This window comes from Homo sapiens, chromosome 15, assembly GCF_000001405.40.
Source record: "Homo sapiens chromosome 15, GRCh38.p14 Primary Assembly".
NCBI lineage: Eukaryota > Metazoa > Chordata > Mammalia > Primates > Hominidae > Homo > Homo sapiens.
The window spans coordinates 20510398-20531788 of NC_000015.10; the positions used below are offsets into that span (position 1 = coordinate 20510398).

General features: G+C 48.4%; 1 pseudogene, besides 1 other annotated feature; it reads left to right on the forward strand.

Annotated features, from left to right (window-relative positions):
• Positions 1–5347: 5347 nt before the first annotated feature.
• On the forward strand, positions 5348–10316 carry LOC100996379 (E3 ubiquitin-protein ligase HERC2; annotated as a pseudogene).
• Positions 20816–21316: an enhancer, noted in NCBI's record as "H3K4me1 hESC enhancer chr15:20736451-20736951 (GRCh37/hg19 assembly coordinates)". NCBI's record gives its function as "activates a minimal SCP1, AML or CMV promoter by ChIP-STARR-seq in primed H9 embryonic stem cells {active_cell/tissue: H9 hESC(primed)}" and the evidence as "EXISTENCE:reporter gene assay evidence [ECO:0000049][PMID:30033119]".

Consider the following 21391-nt stretch of genomic DNA (forward strand, 5'->3'; position numbering starts at 1 on the left):
ACCCGGCCAAGAATAGTTTCTTCTCCTTACCTAGGTAGAGACCTCTGCAGAAATGCTGGGAGATCTTTGGAGAGGGGAGATTTTTTAAATAAAAAATTTAATACTTGGAGGGGCGTGGTGGCTTACCCCTGTAATCCCAGCACTTTGGGAGGCCAAGGCGGACAGATCAGGAAGTCAGGAGATTGAGACCACCCTGGCTAACACGGTGAAACCCCATCTCTACTAAAAAAAATACAAAAAATTAGCTGGGCATCGTGGCGGGCGCCTGTAGTCCCAGCTACTCGGGAGGCTGAGTCAGGAGACTGGCGTGAACCTGGGAGGCGGAGCTTGCAGTGAGCCGACATCGGGCCACTGCACTCCAGCCTGGGCGACACAGCAAGACTTCGTCTCAAAAAAAAAAAAAAAAATTAATGCTTTGGGATGCCAAGGCAGGTGGATCACGAGGTCAGGAGTTGTTCAAGAACTGCCTGGCCAAGATGGTGAAACCCCGTAAAAATACAAAAATTTGCCGGGCTTGGTGGCAGGTGCCTGTAATCCCAGCTATTCAGGAGGCTGAGGCAGGAGAATTGCTTGAACCTGGGTGGCAGAGGTTGCAGGGAGCCAAGATAGCACCACTGCACTCCAGCCTGGGCAATAAGAGTCAGACTCTGTCTAAAAAAAAAAAAAAAAAAAAAAAAACTGATCTAGTTCAAAACCTCACTTTGAATCCACCCACATTGCTCTAAAATACTTTCATCTTTCCTGTGGCTAAAACCTTAAAGCCTTGCCAGTAACTCCCATTGCACTTAAGGAAATCCAATCTCCCTTGTTGTGGCCCCTGAACAGGCTGCTGCTGGCCCACCACGGTGCCTCTAGTTTGTGTAAAATGCATATGTTAATTTATAATATATGAGGCTTTTTTAGCTCTAAAAGGCTATTATTCACTAGTTGCTGTGTGAATCAGTATTTCTGGGTGCAGTTAGAAATTATTAGAGTTGATGCCCAAGACTCATCTCCATCAGCACGGGGGAGGCATCTGCTCGTTTTATGGTCAGTGACTCTGGGCCTCCTGCTGGGCTAAGTCCTGAGGTGGGTCTGACTCAGGTCAGAGCTGTGCACCCCGGCCCTCCTCCCCAACGTGCATGAGTGCTCTTTAGGATGGAGCTGAACACTGGCTTCTCAAAACCACTTGGCCCCATCACAGGCCCTGAGAACTGATTGGGTCACTCTGGTGGGCTCCCCAGCCCTAGCCAAGAAGGGTTTCTCTAGGGAGCCTGGCCCCCCACTTATGAGACCTGGAGCCCCAAAGATCCTGACCAGGGGCCTGCCTCCTCCAGGGAGGGGCCACTCGCCCCCACCAAGCTCCCTTCACAGAGACCCATCCAACAGAGCTGAGGAAAACCATGCCTCATAAATGAATAAATACATAAATAAGGATGCCGGGGACCTGTGGATTTTGTAATTCCTGAAAGAAGGCAGAGTGGCTGGCTCACAGCAAGCGCAGTAGGAGATACTGCTCCCCGGCCAGGCTGTTCTCTGTCTCTTTGGAGGGAGCCCTAGGGTACAAGAAAAGCCAGAGGAGACCAGCTGGCCCAGAAGGTGCCTCTCCACCCCTTCCCCAGAGTTTCTGGGAAACAAAGCCCACCCGAGGGACACATGCCTTCTTGGGAGTTGTACCAGGCCTCCTTCCTCATCCGGCCATGCAGTGGTTTTCAGTGCCCGAAACAGATGAATAAAATAGGCCCTTTACTGGATGTTCTTCAGGAACATGCACACTTCTTTGGATCTTACCATCGTTTTATCTCTATTTAAAGTTAAATGCTGTGTTATACAGAGTATTGGTAAAGATGTAGAGCTACAAGAACTGTCAAGCTGGCAGTAGCATAAAATTGTATAAGCACATTGGAAACCTGTTTGGCAGCTTCTACTAAAGCTATATCTATGCCTACGTTCAGAAATTCCATCCTAAGCATGTACACAAGAGAAACGAGTGCATATGTCCACAAAAAGACTTATATAAGAATGTTCACTGCCATTTTTATTCATAAGAGCCCCAAATGAAAACAACCTAAGTGTCCATCAACAGGAGAGTGAATAAATGGTGATACAGTCACATCATGGAATACTACACAGCCAAAAAAGAAAAATGAAGTGGTAGGAACACTCAACGACATGGGTGAATAGAGGGAGCCAGGTATGAGAGACAGTGCACAGTACCAGCCCACCTAGATGAAGCGCAGGAAGGCAGAACTGACGATGATTGAAGTCAGAAGAGTAGTTTCCTTTGTGGGAAAGTGTAGGTCAGGAAGGAGCCTTCTGGGGTACTACAAATCTGCCGTATTTTGGCTGGGTGCAACAGCTCACACCAGCACTTCGGGAGGCATAGGCGAGAGGGTCACTTGAGCCCAGGAGTTAGAGACCAGCTTGGGCAACACAGCGAGATCCCATCTCTACAAAAAAATTAAAAATTAGCGTGGCATGCTGGTGTGCACCTGTAGTCTCAGCTACTCAGGAGGCTGAGGCAGGAGGATTGCTTGAGCTTAAGAGTTTGAGGTTGCAGTGAGCTCCCAAAGTGCTGGGATTACAGGTGTGAGACACTATACCAGCCTGATTTTTAAATACTGACCAAGCCTTGTGTTACTGGGATAGGCATCACTTGGCCACAATTTACTACTCTCTTTCTTTTTTTTTTTTTTTTTTTTTTGAGACAGAATCTCACTCTGTCACCCAGGCTGGAGTGCATTGGTGCAATCTCAGCTCTCTGCAACCTCTGCCTCCTGGGTTCAAGCAATTCTCCTGCCTCAGCTTCCTGAGTAGCTGGGATTAGAGGTGTGCACCACCACACCTGGCTAATTTTGTTTGTTTGTTGTTTGTTTTTAGTAGAGATGGGGTTTCACCATGTTGGCCAGCCTGGTCTCCAACTCCTGACCTCAAGTGATCCACCCTCCTTGGCATCCCAATATTCCTATGATTACAGGCGTGAGCCACTGCGCCCGGCCCTATTCTGTTTCTATATTGCTAAATTTGACTTGCTAACACGTTTTTGAGGATTTTTCTGTTGATGCTCATCAGGGATGTTGGTTTGCAGTTTTCTTTCTTTGTATTACACTATCTCGTCTGGCTTTCTGTCAGGGGAAAGCTGACCTTATACAAAGTATTGGCATGTGTTCCCTCCTTTTCCATTTTCTCTAAGGGATTGTGTAGAATTAGTGTTATTTCTTCTTTAAATGTTTTTGAATCCATCTGAACCTGGAGATTTCTTTCTAAAAGATTTTACGCCGGGCACGGTGGCTCGTGCCTATAATCCCAGCACGTTGGGAGGCCGAGGCAGGTGGATCACCTGAGGTCAGGAGTTTGAGACCAGCCTGGCTAACATGGTGAAACCCCGTTTCTACTAAAAATACAAAAAATTAGTCGAGCTTGGTGACGTGCGCCTGTAATCCCAGCTACTCAGGAGGCTAAGGCAGGAGAATCACTTGAACCTGGGAGGCAGAGATTGCAGAGAGCTGAGATTGCACCAATGCACTCCAGCCTGGGTGACAGAGTGAGACTCAGGCTCAAAAAAAAAAAAAATTTTTTTACAAATTCAATTTATTTAACAGATACAGAACTATTCAGGTAACCTGTTTGTTTCTAGGAGGATTTTCCTGGTTTGTGGCACTCGGACATTGCTTTATTTCATCTAAGTTGTCTGATTTTTAAGTGTCAAGTTTTCCTTAGTGTTCTCTTGCTAACCGTCTGAAGTCTGTGGGGCCTGCAGTGATGTCCCTTCATTCATTCCTGATACTGATAATTTGTATCTTTTCTGTTTTTTTCTTTGTCAGTTTTCCTAGAGTTTTTCAATTTTGTTGATCTTTTCAAAGAATGATCTTTAAGTTTCATTAATTTTTCCCTTCTTTTTTTGCTTTCAATCTCATTAGTTTCTGCTTTTATCTTGGCATTTGTTCCTTTGGCTTGTTTTGCGTTCACTTTGCTCTTTTTCTGGTTTCTTAAGGTGGAAACTTAGATTGCTGATTTAGACCTATCTTTTTTGTAATATATAATGATTTGATGCTATAAATTTTCCTCTAAGCAGTGCTTTAATTAACCCCACAAATTTTGGTGCATTTTCATTTATGTTCAAAATATTTTCTAATTTCTTTTGAGAATTGTTCTTTGACCCATGGATGATGATGATGATGATTATTATTATTATTATTTTTCTTCAATACGGAGTTTCACTGTTGTTGCCCAGGCTGGAGTGCAATGACATGATCTCGGCTCACTGCAACCTCTGTCTCCTGGGTTCAAGCGATTCTCCTGCCTCAGCCTCCTGATTAGCTGGGACTACGGGCACCCGCCACCATGCCCGGCTAATTGTTTTGTATTTTCAGTAGAGATGGGGTTTCTCCATGTTGGCCAGGCTGATCTTCAACTCCTGGCCTCAGGTGATCCCCCCAACTTGGCCTCCCACAGTGTTGGGATTACACGCGTGAGCCAGTGCGCCCGGCCTGACCCATGGATTATTAAGTATGTTGTTTTATTTTGAAGTGTTTGCAGATTGTTTTGTTAATGATTTCTAGTTTAATACCATTGTGATTGGAGAACAAACTGCATATGATTTCATTTCTTTTAAATTTGTTAAGATTTATGTGTCAGGTTATGTTCTCAGTGAACATTCTGTATGTGCTTAAAAAGTATATGTATGGTCTGTATATGTATGGTCTGTATATACATATATGTATACATATATGTGTAAAAAGTATATGTATGGTCTGTATGTGCTTAAAAAGTATATGTATGGTCCAGCACTTTGGGAGGCCGAGGCAGGCAGATCACAAGGTCAGGAGATCGAGACCATCCTGGCTAACAGGGTGAAACTCCGTCTCTACTAAAAATACAAAAAAAATTACCCGGGCATGATGGCGGGTGCCTGTAGTCCCAGCTACTTGGGAGGCTGAGGCAGGAGACTGGCTTGAGCCTGGGAAGCAGAGCTTGCAGTGAACTGAGATCATGCGACTGCACTCCAGCCTGGGCGACAGAGCTAGACTCCATCTCAAAAAAAATAAAATTTAAAAAAAGTATATGTAAAGTGTATGTATGGCCGGGCACGGTGGCTCACGCCTGTAATCCCAGCACTTTGGGAGGCCAAGGCAGGTGGATCACGAGGTCAGGAAATCAAGACCATCCTGGCTGACATGGTGAAACCCCATCTCTACTAAAAATAAAAATTAAAAAAATAATAATAATTAGCCAGGCGTGGTGGTGAGCACCTGTAGTCCCAGCTACTCAGGAGGCTGAGGTAGGAGAATGGCGTGAACCCAGGAGGCAGAGCTTGCAGTGGGCTGAGATCCCGCCACTGCACTCTAGCCTGGGCGACAGAGCGAGACTCTGTCTCAAAAAAAAAAAAAAGTATATGTATTTTGCTGTTGTTGGGTGAAGTGTTCTATAAATTAGATCCAGTTTATTGAAGGTGTTCTACAGTTCTCCTAGATTTTTGCCGATTACTTGTTCTCTCACTATGAAAGATATTGTGTGTGTTATATGTGTCTAACAATTCATTGTCTAGTTAGAGTTGCTATTATACCACTTCAAGTGGATGGAGAGCCTCACTGCCATCCATTAATGTGCATTAATCATTTTGAGAGTGAAAAGATTTTTTAAAATGTTTTTACTTTTTTAGGTATGGCCAAGTGAGATGGGGCTAGTGAAATGGGTGGGAGAATTGGAAGCTGATAGTGTGTGAGCTAGACACCCATGAATGCTTTTCCACTGGGCAGTTAGAGGGATGATAGGTAATAATATAAGGCAGCTCCATCACACAAGCTGGTGACTCCTGTGCGACAGACCAAGAGCTGCATTTGGAGATTCATTTCCGATTGTTGCGTTTCCTCTTAGAGCATTGCTTGGTCATCGTGTTCTGAGTGGTCCATTGGCCTCCATGTCCCTTTTGGGGTGGATATTTGCTCAGTGACTTTTGAGCAGCTGGATCTCCTGCTTCGGCAGGTGAGTGAGGGGATGGATGGCTCCACGGACTGGCCCCCGCCCCAGGAGAAAGAGTGCGTGGCCGTGGCAACGCTGAATCTTCCCCGACTTCAGGTATTCGTGATTTCCCTTCCTCTTGCTCCTTTTATAAGTGTCTTAGCGATTTGTAAGAAGGTTTATGTATTTTGAAGGACATAGGTTTTAGCCTGCTGGGGGAAGTATTTTAAAGTAAGATTGTAATGCACTAATAATGGACGCAAGGCTTAAAAAACTTGATCTGTTTATTTTATGTTTGTCCTGGAAGTCAGCCTCGGCATGCAGGAAGAGTGTATATGGATTGTGTTATTTTTGCTATAATCATTAGTTTGTTGGTATTCTTACTGTTTTACTGTTGTTGCGTGTGGAGAAATGACTGGGTGAGATCACAGGTGATGGAGAGAGACAGCGCTCAGCTGAGAGACCAGTGCTGGCCTGTCTCTCCTCTGTCCTGTGAAAACCCTGCTCCAGGAGGGTCCAGTCTTTTGGTTTCCCTGGGCCACACTGGAAGAAGAATTGTCTTGGGCTACACATAAAATACACTTATGATAGCTGATGAGCTTAAAAAAAGAATCCCAAAAATATCTCATGATGTTTTAAGAAATTTTACTTTGGGCCACATTCAAAGCTGCCCTGGGCCACATGCTGCCCTCGGGCCGTGGGTTGAACAAGCTTGATCTACTCAGTAAGCTCGGCTCCCAAAGCAATACCTTCCTTTCCTCACCATGAAGGCTGTGGTTAGGGTCAAAATAAAAGCTACAAAAGCCTTCCTCCCTAGCAAAACTAAAGCTGAAGTGTTTGATCATCATCTTTTGTCTTTCTAATAAAACCCTCTAACTTAATGACAAGAACCACGGTTTTCTCGACATAGTAATTTTTCCCTTTTATTACAGTGGTTTCTTGTAACAACCCATCATGTCCCTCTTCCAGCCCCTCCCCTTTTTGCCCTGCTTCTAGAATGTACAGAACTGAGTGTAGTGTTTAGTTGCAGTAATGAACTGAGCAGAGGTCTGGAGCATGCTTCTCCTCTAGTCCTCTGTAGCACTCATTTATCACCATATCTGTGGCATCCTGGCATTTGCATGGTTGCGCCCCAGGTGTTTGCTGCCCCTCCTGGTTTGCGGTGATGTGTCTGTTCTGGTCAGTGCTGTGGGGCGTGGCCTTGTGTATGTCTTAGGCTGTCGAGGTGTCCCAGCGTATGGTTTTGCATTTGCCTCTCCGGGGTCCTGAGGGTTCTGTAGGTTTCACAGACTCCAGGTGAGTTTCGGTGGTCATTTCCTGACCTGTGATATCTATACCTAGATGAGTGGTGTGCTTTTGATTTCACTTCTACTCACAGGGCAAGGCCGGGTCTCTGATTTCTCATGGGGCCTCTTGCTACCCAAAGCCTGGGACGGGCAGTGTGTTGCCCCCTGGCTGCGGTTGGCTGGCAGGCAGGTGATCCTGAGTGGCTCCCAGCCTTCTGCAGGAAGCTCGGGTTCAGTGGGTCCTTGTGTGCATTCCCGTGTGGGAGGTTGTGCTGAAGCCTGGCGGCTTGGCTCTGCTTTCAGAGCCCGGAACCTCTTGACTCCTGCTGTGTGTGCCCACGTGAATTTTGGTTTTGCACTTGAGGAGTTTCCCTGTGTACTCTCAGCTCCGCAGTCTAATTTTTAGCAGCTCTTTTTTTTTTTAGACAGGGTGTCACTTTGTCACCCAGGCTGGAATGCAGTGGTACAGTCTTGGCCTGCCAGGTTCAAGTGATTCTCCTGCCTCAGCCTCCCAAGTAGCTGGGACTACAGGTGTGTACCATCACACCCGGCTGATTTTTTTATAGAGATGGGGTTTCATCATGTTGGCCAGGCTGATCTTGAACTCCTGATCTCAAGTGAGCTTTCCACGTCGGCCTCCCAAAGTGCTGGGATTACAGGCATGAGCCACCGCCTGTGGCAGCTTTTGTGGTTACATTGTAGCCATTATTTCTGTGTTTGGTGCAGATTGTTGGGGCGGGTGGAGGTTGCTGTTGCTAGTTGTTTAGCTCTTCTGCTCATCTTGAGCTTTTCCATATATGTGTTCATAGTGGGGTTAAAAAAAATTCCTCTAGAAAATACTTCAACTATTGTGGGTAAGAGTTTTTTTAGTCCAGTTTTTAAAAATACGTAAACTGAGAAGTTATTTTGTCTATTTAGATAATACTTCAAATTGACTTTTATTCAGTGTTTAATAAGACTTTGAAATTCACTCATTTTTAGGGGTTCTAAGTGAAAATTGTTTTTCTCCTTTCAGTTGCATGCTGCCATTAGTCACCAGGTTGACCTGGAATTCCTTGGTTTAGGTCTGGGCAGCGTCTTCCTGAACAGCCTGAAGCAGAAGGTGGTGACCCTGGCAAGCAGCGCAGACGTGCTGAGCACCGTGCAGTCGGCCTCCCAGGCCATGCTGCAGAGCGGCTGGTCCATGCTGTTGCCCACCGCTGAGAAGCAGGCCCGGGCACTCTGCTCTCCTGTCCTGCGGAGGTGGGCTCGGGGAAGGAACAGGAGAGGGCATGGGTCAGGGTGCTGGGAGGGGATGGCGTTTCACTCAAATTGGCACACACTTTCTATTTCAGTTTCAGGCAATGAAGTGAGCATAAGTCCAGGTCATCGATTGGTGATTGATCTTCTGGTGGGCAGCCTGATGGCTGATGGAGGGTTGGAGTCAGCCTTACACGCAGCCATTACTGCAGAGATCCAGGTATGGCCTTGGAGGCACACGTGACCTGGTGGTGGGCTGAGATCAGAAATACCACACTCACACATGTGAAGAATAACTGAAAACAGTAAAACACTAAACTTATATCCAAGTATTTTTTTAAATTAAAATTCTTTTATGTGCTAATTTTAAAAATTATTGAGATGATTTGTGATAAAATACTGCATGTTGTCTGTTTCAGTGAAGTTAACAGGTAACCTGTTCCTCATGTAGACCATTCCCGTCACCCGGAAAGATCCCTGTGCTCCTTGGCACTTGCAGCCAGGATACTCCCCTGCCCTGAGATTAGATTCATTTTTCCTGCTCTGAGTGTCGCAGCAATATAACTGTATAGTATGCACTCTTTCCTGCTTTGCCTTGGAGAATGATTTTCAGATTCACTCACTGTTGTGTGTATTGCGACTTCGTTTTTATTATTGGGAAGTTTTCCATTTTATAGGTGTAGTACTGTTTGTTAGTTCATTCTCCTATTGAAGGACATGTAATTGTTTTTGGTTTTTGTTTTCTTTTTTTTTTTTTTTTTTTGAGACAGGGTCTTGCTCTGTCACCCAGGCTGTATACAGTGACCTGATGTTGGCTCACTGCAGCCTTGTACTCCTAGGTTCAAATGATCCTCCCACCTCAGCCTCCTGTGTTGCAGGGACCACATACATGTCACCATGCCCGGCTAGTTTTTTGATTTTTTTGTAGAGACAAGGTTTCACTGTGTTGCAAGGCTGGTCTTCAACTCCTGGGCTCCAGTGATCCCCCCACCTTGGCCTCCCAAAGTGTTGGGATTACAAGCATGAGCCACCGCGCCCAGGCTTTCTGGTTTTTGGCCGTGTAGAGCTGCCACAATTGTGCTGTGAACAAGTACTTTAGTGAACATATGTTCTCCCTTTGGATAAACACTTGGAGTGGAATTTGTTAGGTCCTGGGGTTAGTGTGTGTTCATAGTTTCCCAAAGTGGCTTTGCCATTTGCATTTGAACCAGGACTTTTGTGTGTGAGAATTCTAGCTCCTTCTTGTCCTTACAGAGCAGCTGGATGCTGTGTGTGTGGAGCCGATCACATTGGGTTTTGTGTGAGCCATTAGCAGGGTTAAGGATTTTAGGGACTTCACAGAAGGAGGCTGGAGAGCATCAGCAGAGGCAGCCTAGACCTTGGATCTGTAAAAAGAAGACACTGTTTGAAACTGCACAGATGAGTTGGGGTTTCCAACAGGGCAGGTGGGGGCCTGTGGGTGGATGGGTGTGGCAGCCACAGAGGCTGGGATAGCTTGGCACTGGGGTCAGGGCTCAGCCAGCCTGTGTGCCTTCACACCTGGTAATGAGATCACTTGTAAACAATTTCTGTTTATCAATTACAGGATACAAAAAAAGAAGCACGGAAGGAAAAAGAAATTTATGAACAGGAAGCAAATGCCTCAACATTTCATAGAAGGAGGACTCCATTGGATAAAGACCTTATTAATACGGGGATCTGTGAGTCTTCTGGCAAACAGTGTTTGCCTCTGGTTCAGCTCATACAACAGCTTCTTAGGTAAATCATATTAGCTGTATTGTATTGTGTTTTATTTATTTACTTTTTTGTTTTTTGAGACAGAGTTTCGCTCTTGTTGCCCAGGCCCGAGTGCAGTGGTGCGATCTTGACTCACTGCAACCTCCGCCTCCCAGGTTCAAGTAATTCCTCTGCCTCAGCCTCTCGAGCAGCTGGGATTACAGGCATGCGCCACCATGCCCCACTAATTTTGTAGTTTTATTAGAGACAGGGTTTTGTCATGTTGGTCAGGCCGGTCTTGAACTCCCGACCTCAGGTGGTCCATCCACTTTGGCCTATCAAAATGTTGGGATTACAGGCATTAGCCACCACGCCTGGCCTATTTATTTACTTATTAATGGTGTTTTTTTTTTTTTTTTTTTTTTTTTTGAGATGGAGTCTTGCTCTATCGTCCAGGCTGGAGTGCAGTGTCACGATCTTGGCTCACTGCAACCCCCGCCTCCTGGGTTCAAGCTATTCTCCTGCCTCAGCCTCCCGAGTAGCTGGGACTACAGGCGTCTGCAACCACACCTGGCTGATTTTTGTATTTTTAGTAGAGATGGGGTTTTACCATATTGGTCAGGCTGGTCTCAAATTCCTGACGTCAGGTGACCCACCTGCCTTGGCCTCTCAAAATGTTGGGATTACAGGTGTTAGCCACTGTGCCTGGCCTGTATTGTATTTTAATAGGTGATTATTGGTTTTCATATTAAGATAGTGAAATCTAGCGCAAGGATCTCAAAAATTTGTTTGATGATTGAAGGAATATTCTGAAAATTACCTAGTATAGATGTTAGGATAAAGAGCAGACCCTTTTCAATATAGGTGAGAGGAGAAGTTGGAGGGTGTGATGATACTCAAAAGTTTTTCACTGAAGAGAAATTGGGGCGTGCAGTAAACATGTAAAAAGATTCTTACTAATAAGCAGGTGGATGCAAATGAAAATCATCATGGAAGGTTATTTTTAAAACTGATTGTATCATTGCCTCACTTTATATATTACAGAGTTATACATACTACTTTGTAAGATAACTTTTCTTTTCAAAACTGAAGTCAATGTGATAGAATGGTGAGCATTATTTTGGAAGGCCAGACTAGGAGGAGGTGGGAGGAAGAAGTCAGACTCAGCCTGTGAACAGACGCTAACCTTGGCAGAAGCCAAAACAGTCAGACAGTGTTGTGTAAAAATGATCATTCAAGAAGAGCGAAACAGCAAGGTGATTTGTGAAAGAGATTTATTAGAAAATGAAACACATTTATACCTCTGTTCAATAAAAATCTGCTTTTCGTCAACTGATGCTCCTGGTTTTTGTTTCTACACATAGAGAAAGCAGAGCCCTGGCAGCTTGGGTCAGGCAGCCGAGTACAGACCAGGGAGCCCTGGGCAGTGGCTGCAGCTCTCAGCTGGCCTGTTCATGGGGCCATGGTGGGTCTGTGGCGTGGGGTGGGCCTGTGGCGTGGGGTGGGCCTGCGGCGTGGGGTGGGCCCGCGGCATGGGGTGGGCCTGCTGTCCACAGCCAGAAAAACTAACTTAGTGCACACACAGTGAAATTTTGAAACAGGAAGTTTTAGAGCTAGTTTCTGTCATAGATTTTAGTAAATGCTATTTTGCAAAACCTTTTTCTGATGTTTGTTTTGTTTTTCTAATCTGATAATGCATATTTCACACATTCTGGTCTTTAACAAATGGAAATAAAGAGAACTAAACAATATAGTTTGTGTCGATGGAAAGAGCTTGGGATTTGTTCTCAGAAAATTTCAGTTACAACAGTTTGTTCATATAGGTGGACTTCCAACACAGTAACTATAGGAGTAAGAATAAAAGCTGTGTTTACTTTCACAGAGTTAATTAAGAATACATGAGAAAATGGATGTTAAAAACCTTGTAATTAAAATGTACAGTTACATGCAAAGTTTTAAAGTGAGCATTTTCCAGAGGTGCTTTTCTAAGTTCTTGAATGCCTCTCCCTTTTCTGAAGTGGCTGCTTCGTGGGGCTGTTGGTCTTTGGCAGGGGGTGAGTGCAGGGTTCCTGTTGTGGGTCCTTTGTTCTCACGAGGGCAGTGCCCGTTTTCCCCGTCTCCTGCTTGCCCAGACTGTTCCCGTGCGCAGAGAGACTGGCCTGTTTGACCTGCAGCTGTGCTGTTTGAGCTGCAGCTGTGTAGCCTGCGCTGGCCCATCTGGCTACACTCAACACCGTTTGCTGATCAGCACTTGAAGTCTGTCCGTCATAGCTGAGACACTGAATATTTTATCTGTTTAATTTTTATTCATTAAAATGCAGGTTTGAAAATTTGATTCTGTTATTAGAAAGCACTTAAGTATGTTTAGAATCACTTGGCCTTGGGAGTCTACTTTGTCAACTGTGTATTTTATGAGTCTAAATGGAGATCAGATGTTTTCAATGCAAATTTCACGGTCCAAATTGAAATGTGTTACATATGTAAGCTACTCAGATGGTTTTTGAGGACTTAATATGAAATAACCTATGTAAAATATCTCAATAATTTTTCTTAGATTGATTTCATGTTGAAATGGTCATATTTTTGATCTGTTGGAATAACTATGATACATTATTAAAATTATTTTTATTTTTTAAGATGGAATCTTACTCTGTTGACCAGACCGGAGTGCAGTGGTGCAATCTTGGCTCACTGCAACCTCCGCCTCTTGTGTTCAAGTGATTCTCCTGCCTCAGCCTCCTGAGCAGCTGGGACTACAGGACTACAGACTCCCGAGCAGCTGGGACTACCACCACGCCTGGCTGATTTTTGTATTTTTGTAGAGACAGAGTTTCACCATGTTGGCCAGGCTGGTCTCGAACTCCTGACCTCAAGTAATCTGCCCGCTTTGGCTTCCCAGAGTGCTGGGATTACAGGCATGAGCCACTGCAACCAGCCATTATTACAATTAATTTTATGTGTTGTTGTTTTTCTTGTTGGTGTGTTTTTTGTTTTTTTTTTTTACTTTTGTTAATGTGACTAAGAACAATTTTTTTTCCCCACCCGGAGATGGATCCTCACTCTGTTGCCTGGACTGGAGTGCAGTAGCACGATCTCAGCTCACTGCAGCCTCTGCCTCCTGGGTTCAAATGATTCTCCTGCCTCAACCTCCTGAGTGGCTGGGACTAACAGAAGCATGCCACCATACCTGGCTAATTTTTGTATTTTTAGTAGAGATGGGGTTTCACCATGTTGGCCAGGATGGTCTTGAACTCCCAACCTCAGGTAATCTGCCCACCTCAGCCTCCCAAAGTGTTGGGATTACAGGCGTGAGCCACCGCACCTGGCCATGTTTATTAATACGACTAAGAACATTTTGAATTGCACCTGTGGCTCCATTGGTGTCCTGGGCAGGTGGCTCTGTGCTGTCCACACAGGTTGTCTCCTGTGTCTTCGTCTTCGCTGCGTGTGACTTTTTGGTTCCTGTGGCACGTGGGGTCCTGTATGGGACATTGGTTCTACAGCAGATTTATAGTAAGGATGTACCTACTAAAAAATACAAAATAAAAAGAATAGACACAAACATAGAAATAAGTATCACCTCACAAAACTTTTGGAAAGTAGAAAAAGAAAAATGCATTCGCAGCTTTCCAGTAGCCGATATCCAGGCTGTCTTCATAAGCATGGATCATGTGTCCCTCTCCTGCATGGGTAGACACTGTTTTCTCACCTTAAGTGTTTGTGAGTGAAGGATTCTTGATGTGTTGACTTGGCAGATGCAGTTGTTGAACAGTAGTTTATCTAAAGATCGTAAGAGACTTTTGGAGACATTTCATGTCCTTTTTTCCCTTGGAAAACGTGGGTTGGAGAAATCGCTGCTTGCCAAAAATAAGCCGTGAAACGTATTTCAGAGTAGATCGTTATTTACATGCTGGCGAGGAGCCACAGAATACCATTTACATTTGAAAATAGAGTGCTGCGAAGTTTTTATAAGTAGTGAATCCCATCAGAATTACACATTTTGATTATGGCTCTAAATTTTATATTAAATAAACTAAAAATTTCATTGTATTGTATTACCGTCTCTTGCTCCTTCAGGTGTAGCATACATGTTAGATTCTAGACCTGTTTCTTGTGTTACAGTGGTGTTATCCAGGCAGGGTATCATGTAGTGAAGGTGATGTCTAGTGGTGGTGGTGAGCCCAGTGAAGGCGCATCCTTGCCGTGTGTGATGAGGGCCTGTGGGTTGCTATGGGATTCCCCAACCCTGGCTCCTCTGTCTCCTGCTTCTGTCCTTACTCACACTGCTGGTAGTTTTCTGGTGTGAGCCACGGGGGCAAGTGGGATTGACAAGCCTGCTGTCACATTAGGAACCTGAGTTAAAGTGGAGCTGAAAGCATGTCCTCGCTCTTGATGTTGTGCAGAGAGCCACCTGTGCTCCTGGCTCAACGGGGCGTGTGTGGTGGGTCTGGAACCAGGCCCTGGTTTGGCTCTCCTCCCCTCCATGTTCCCCTGTCCTGTCTGATTTGCTTCACACTGACATAAGAGTTACTTTCCCTCGGCCTCCCAAAGTGCTGGTATTACAGGCATTAGCCACCGCGCCCAGCTAGCATCCTTTCAAGTACTGGGGTACACCCAAGCTCCCAGCTTCTAGCTAGGAGTCATTTGGTCCCTCTTTATCCCAAAGGACTTGCCACCATCTTTGGTTCCCAAAGCCCAGGAGGGTCCAGGCTCTTCAGCCTCCAACCACTTTGCATTTCTTGTCTGCTTTTCGTTCATGGAGATAATTAACTTATTTTTCAGCCTGGGCATGTCTTTTTTATTTACTTTATTTTTTATTTTTATTTTTTGAGATGGAGTCTCACTCTGTCGCCCAGGCTGGAATGCAGTGGCGGGATCTCATTTCACTGCAGCCTCTGCCTCCCGGGTTCAAGTGATTCTCCTGCCTCAGCCTCCTGAGTAGCTGGGACTACAGGTGTGCACCACTATGCCCAGCTAATTTTTACATTTTTAGTAGAGACAGGGTGTCGCCATATTGGCCAGGCTGGTCTCGAACTCCTGGCTTCAAGTGATCCTCCTGCCTCAGCCTCCCAGAGTGCTGGGATTACAGGCACGACCACCGCACCCAGCCTTTATTTACTTTGTATATCTCATCTATTACTGCTGCAGTTTGCAGAAGAGAGGATGCCCTCAAACCTAACTTCTCCAAACCATCCCAAATGGGAAGTCTGCTCCACGTCAACAGCATTGTTGCTTTTAAAGACTATACGTCAACATGCCAGATTATAGCAAAAGGATGTCGAGGGAGCAATAGGAAAGCAAGCCTGAGAGTCCTGGAGAGAAGGTGGCAGAGCTGCCTTTTGAAGGTGGTTCCTTCCTCAGACCCTGCCCTTCCTGCCTTGTTCCTCCAGTTGCCAGATTTGCTGTTGGAGCTCCTCCACGGGCGAAGAGGTGAGGCTGGACTGAGAGGGAGATGGAGAAGCTGCCAGAGATTCTTTTGGATCTAGAATTGAGACAGCAGTTCCAGCCAGGTCCAGAGGTGGGGGCTGTCACCCAGCCCCCAGGGGAATGGTACTGATTGCAGAATGTGGCGAGAACTCCCTGGCTGGGAGAGGGAGGTGCTTGCTCCCTTGAATCACCTGAGCCCAGGCTGGAAGGCCCAAGGGGGAGGACGAGGCCAGCTCACTCCAGCTCCATCCCCTCCCTTTAACCCTAAGCTAGTTAACCCTCCCAGACTCCAGTCCTTTTTCCTAAGTGCCCTCCCTGCAAAGTCTGCACCGAGCAGCGCTCCCTCGCACCAGCTCACCCTGCACTGTCTTGTCTTTCAGCAACCCCATGGGTTTGAACTTGAGACGATTCATGTTCCTAAAAGCCTCTTTGGGCTGAGGGAAGGCATGGGTGGCTCTGCCAGTTTTGGAGTGGGGGCCGACTCTTCTCAGAGCCGCTGCAAGGGCCAGGGCCACCCTCCCAGGCGGGTGTCTCTGGGCTGGGCAGCAGCTTTGTAGGCAGCCTGGGTCATCCCCACTGGTCTGGGAAGCTGGGGGTGCACCGGCTCCTGCTCCTGATAGGGCCAAGGCACCTTCCTTACCTAAGAGCTGACTTTCTTGAAGAGTGGGCACAGAGGAGCCGGCAACCTGGGCTGTGTAGGCACCCAGGAGAAAATCTGCAGCTCAGTATCAGAAGTCTCCACCAGCACGGCTGTTGCAGAGATGGGGAAACTGGGCTGAGAGGGAAGGGGGCTTGCCCAAATCACCAGCCCTGGAATGTTTGGAGCTTTGGGGGTGGATCTCCCAGGAAACGTGTTTTTATGGCACCACCGCCTCTGGTCACCCACCCCGAGGTGTGGCGGGCCTGGACAGCCAGCTTGACTGAGGGCCAGGCTGGTGAAGTCAAAACTACCACTCAGGAAGAAGACCTAGCCCTTCTCCAGACAGAGTTCAAATGTGAGGACTGCCTTCTTTGGGCCTCAAATTCCCCACATGAATTCCAAGGACCCCTCTAGCTCCTACACTCTGGGCCAAGGTTTCCTCTGAGCCGCAGTCAGCCTAGAGGACCTAGGATACATCTTCCTTGGACAGAGACCCACCATAGGGGCAGCAGGAGGTAGGGGTGGGGGTAGGCAAGATTCCTGTGGGGAGGTGGAGCTGTCATCAGAGATGGTGTCTGCAGGCAGTGGGTGTATCGTGGCTCTGCTACTACTTGCTGGGTGGCCCCATGACGTTTCTTTCCCCACTCTGACCTCAGTTTCCCTATCTGTTCTGTGGAGATAAGATGCCTGCCTACATATTTGTGGACTGGGATGTGTGTGGGCCAGTTGCAGTGTTTCTTGGTGTGGTCCTGGGGCAGGCTGCACCACCCCATAGAGATTTCTGGGCCCCACCCTAGGCTCACAGGACCAGAATCTCTGGGAATGAAGCCTGGGAATTTGCATTTCCACAGGCATCTGGCTGATTCTGACATGACTGAAAAGCACTAATAGTATATAGCAAGCTCTTTATAAAAGGTAAATTCATAGCTGCCTTTTACTAAACATAAATCTCACCTTCCCTTCCTCAGTTAAGGACACACACCACAGTTGAAAATCACTGTGCCTTTCCAGATGCAGAATCTGACCTTTCCGATAAGATTCTGTTAACTGCTGCTTTCTGCAGTTTGTATTCCAAAACAAGGGGAATATGTTTCCATTTTTTCAATACAAATGTTTAAGTCGGATATGCTTTCTCAAACTGGACACACACTCACACAGCTTAGGGTTTCAGCTATGGCTTCCTCTCAAATTATTAGCCTCTTTCTGCCAGGGAGCAGTTTTTCCCAGACAAGACCCTGGACAGAGGTTGGTGGGGCCCTCCTCATCAGAATCACTAGATTATGACTGACCCCTAGAGGTGGCTTTTCTGCTTAAGTGTCAGCCCATGGGCTGGGTTGTGACCCCCAAAGCTGCGGCAGAAGCTTCCACCCATCCTGGGCCCCCCCTGCCATCTATGGGGAAAGGCCTGTCCCTTGTCTTCTGGGCCCAGCCGGCCTCACAGGCATTCAGCAGATTGGAAAGTCGAAGCATGTGCTGTGCTTGGCTGGGCTCTCCTGCGCCCCTTTTTGGGGTGAGGTGGAGTGCATCCAGCCCCCAGAATCCCTGCCGTTTATTCCCACCCCTCATCCCCACCCCCATACACACTCACAAGTACAAACACAAGCACAGTCACTGGCACACACCACTCTGGACAGCACCATTTCCAGCCTCAGCGGGGCAGTTTCCTTACAGGGAAGTTAATGAGGCACTAACGAAGGCTCAGGGGACAGGGGGAACCTCTATCGAGAAGAGGCTCCTAGACCTGGTTCTGCCTCTGAATTGCTGGGGGTCCTTGAGAAAGTTGCTATCCCTCTCTGGTCTCAGTTTCCTCAGGTGAGAAATGGGGGGCCGGCCAAATGGTCTAAGGTTCTGGGAACCTCTAAATCAGAGCCCATAGCTGGTGGTCAAGATGAGGGAGAGGCCCTCAGGGTCAGCCGAATGACTGAGAGGCCGGACAGGCCCAAAGGTGAGCAACGTGAGCACATCAGGTGGGCTCAGAGCTGGCGCATGAGCCCCACAGCCTGCAGAGCAGCCCTGTACTCGGGAGCCCGCTCGCACCAACCCAGTGGGACTTCAGAGATGTGGGGTCCAGCCTTTCCTACTATTGCTGGGCTGAGGGCTGGGAGCTGCAGATTCTGACCCCACAGCTGCCTTAGACATGCCAGATGGTCTGGGGCAAGACACACCCCTCTCTATGAAATGAGCAGCCAGTCCAAATAGGTACATTAGAGAAGGGCTGTGGGATGGACCCAGCTGTAGCCTGGGGCTACAGACTGGCTTCCGGGGTACTCAAGCAGCTGGCCTCTGGGGTAGCAGCCCCAGGTATGAGAGGCAGGACTCAGAATCTAGGCCAAGCCTCCATAGGAATCCCCTCTGGAGAGCCCGGGCACTCTGCAGGAGGGGCAGCAGGCAGCAGGTGCACCAGGAGCATGTTTCACAAGGTGCCCAATATCGCATCTGCTCAGATAGGCAGCGAGTTGGAAAGTGGATGCAATAGGCAGGGTGGTGGCTGCTCCCCACAGCCAGGAGTCCGGCCCAGCACCCACCTGAGTCCGCCTCAGTCCTGCTCAATTGGGTTATCTGTGCTCTTGGCCCTCTGGTCCCACCCACAGAGGGAGGTCTTTGGGGCGACCAGGTGAGCTGGCCCTTGTGGGAGGATGTAACTGACTCCTGAGCCTGGCGAGCCAGGCAGCCCCTCGCCAACATCCCCACCCCTACCTCTCCAGCCCCCCCGCATTCCCTGATCCTCCCATCCGCTCCCCTGACCCAGCAGTTGCCTCTGCTCACTCTCTTTTCCTGCTCCCAGGCTCGCCTGGTCATGTGTCCTTCACTCTCCTCTGAGTCTCCCTCTTTCCAAGCCGCCTCCACTCTACTTGACACACTCTCCCTTAAGACACCAGAGTACACAAGTGCAAGTCTCTGCACCTCACCTTTACTCCCAGACATGGGAGGGAGATGACATGAAGACCCAAACGCCACTTAGCAGGAGATCTGGGGTATGCAGAGGGGCAGAACGGAGGCTGTGGAAGCTCCAGGGGCTCCCTGCAGGAGGCCACATGTAAGCTGGCTATTGAATGTGGCTCTGAGCTGAGATCTCTCCTTGAAGCTCCAGACCAGGGGCCAGCTGCTAGCTGGACCCCTCCATTTGGTGCCTCAGAGAAACTTTGCACTCTCTAGGTCTAACTTTGAACCCAGAAAATTCCCCCATGTCGGCCCTGTCTCTTCATAGGGAAAGCACCACCTCAGACCCAGTTCTGCACCAAACCCACATTTGAGTCACGAGGCTCCTGCCCTGCACTGTGAGCACTCTGGATAAGCCAGTGCTGAGGGGGAAAGAGCTCTGAATGCCAAGCCAAAACATGAGCTTCAACTCCACCTCCAGCTCTGAGAGCTGTGGGTAGGGAAGGGCCCTCGTCCAGTTTGCTGTAGAAAGATCAGTCTGCCACTGTATGGCACATGGATGGCAGGGGCAGAGTGCAGGTGGAGAGAACAGAAGGTGGGCAGGGCGGGGGAGGCAGGGACATGGCTGTAGCCGTGGAGATGGGAGGACAGACAGGACTTGGTGGCCACTTGGGTGAACCAAGGGAGGAGTCAGGAAGAGACACCCAGTTTTGTATCAGATGTGTAGAGCGTGGGATGCTGTTCATTGACGGAGGGAGGAGGAGGAGGAAGAGGTATGGCATGGGGAGGAGGTAGCTGAGCTCTGTCGTGAATGTCATTTGAAGTCCCCAGGGAAAGCCAGGCCGGCCAGCACCTTCACTGCTTCAGCCAGCTCTCAGGGTGTCTGTGCTCCCTGGCCCTCTCAGCTCCTGCTTCATAGCTGTCAGCTGCAGTGGGAGACAGCTGCACAAGGGCCCAGCATGTCTGTGTGTTTACCCAGGGGACTGCCGCATGGCCCATGCCGAGCAGAAACTGATGGACGACCTTCTGAACAAAACCTGTTACAACAACCTGATCCGCCCAGCCACCAGCTCCTCACAGCTCATCTCCATCCAGACGGCGCTCTCCCTGGCCCAGTGCATCAGCGTGGTAGGTGCAGAGGGTACCTGTGGCTCAGGCTCAGGTGAAGAGGCAGCTCATGCCCAAGCCCTAAGCAGTCAATGTCCAGAGGAATGAAATGACTAGAGTTGACTTAGACTCACCAGTACACGGTGGGGAGGCTGGAGGAGGGTCCATGAGGTTTATAGGTGTCCAGTATTTAATGAGGTCATGGTTTTGTTAACAAAGAAGAAATGAGGGTGGGAGCGAGATCACCACTGGCTAGGCAGCCAATGGGCCTGCAGAGACTCTGCTCAGCTGAGTCTCCAGCACGACCATGAGCTTCTCCTCCTCATCCTCCCAGCCCCACCCTACTCTCTCCCCCAGCTTGCTCAACAGGTGACCTTATAGGCTCCCTACTCTTTGCAGGGAATAAGAACCAGACTGGGGGAACTGACGGGTACAGAGGCCCAGGTGTAGGCGCAGGACCACAGGCAGTGAAGCGTCTACTGACCCAGGCGGGTGAGGGTCTGGAGAGTGGGCATGGCTGCTGCAGGCATGGAAAGCAGGCACAGATGGCAGCACTCCCAGGGCCCATTGTCAGGGTCTCCACATGTGGACGTGTGCAGAGGTGGGGGTGCTGAGGGAGGAGGGGCAGGGAATTTCTCATCTTCTCTCTACTGCCTCTGAGTTGGAGATGTCAGAGGGAGCCATGGCCCACTGTAAAGTAACACAATGTCCCCACCCACAGGATTAGAACCCCTCCCCTGGAAGCAGCTCTGAGGGGAACAGTCACATGTAGAGAGTGCAGGGCACTGTGTCCAGCCGGGGGAAGGAGGTCACCAAGGGGGTTGACCCCCCTCTGGCCAGGTGGCTGCCTTCTGACACACCAGCCTCTGTCTCTAGCACGGTGGCCCCCACACACCCAGCCTGTGAAACCTACAGCCCTCAAGAAGGCTTTGGCCAAATTAATGAGCGGCTCCCTCTCCCAGGAGGAAGCACAGGTGAAGGATGTGGAGGGCAGTAGAGTTGTGTGTGCTCCGCCCCCTTTCTCCGCAGTCGGATGGAAAGAAGGGGGCTTTCAGCCAGGCTCGCCCAGGCTGGGGTCTGAGTGTCACTGTCCAGCTATTGGCTTCTTGCTTAATGGGTGAGCCCAGCTGCTCCCGTGCAGCTGCCGCCCTAGTGA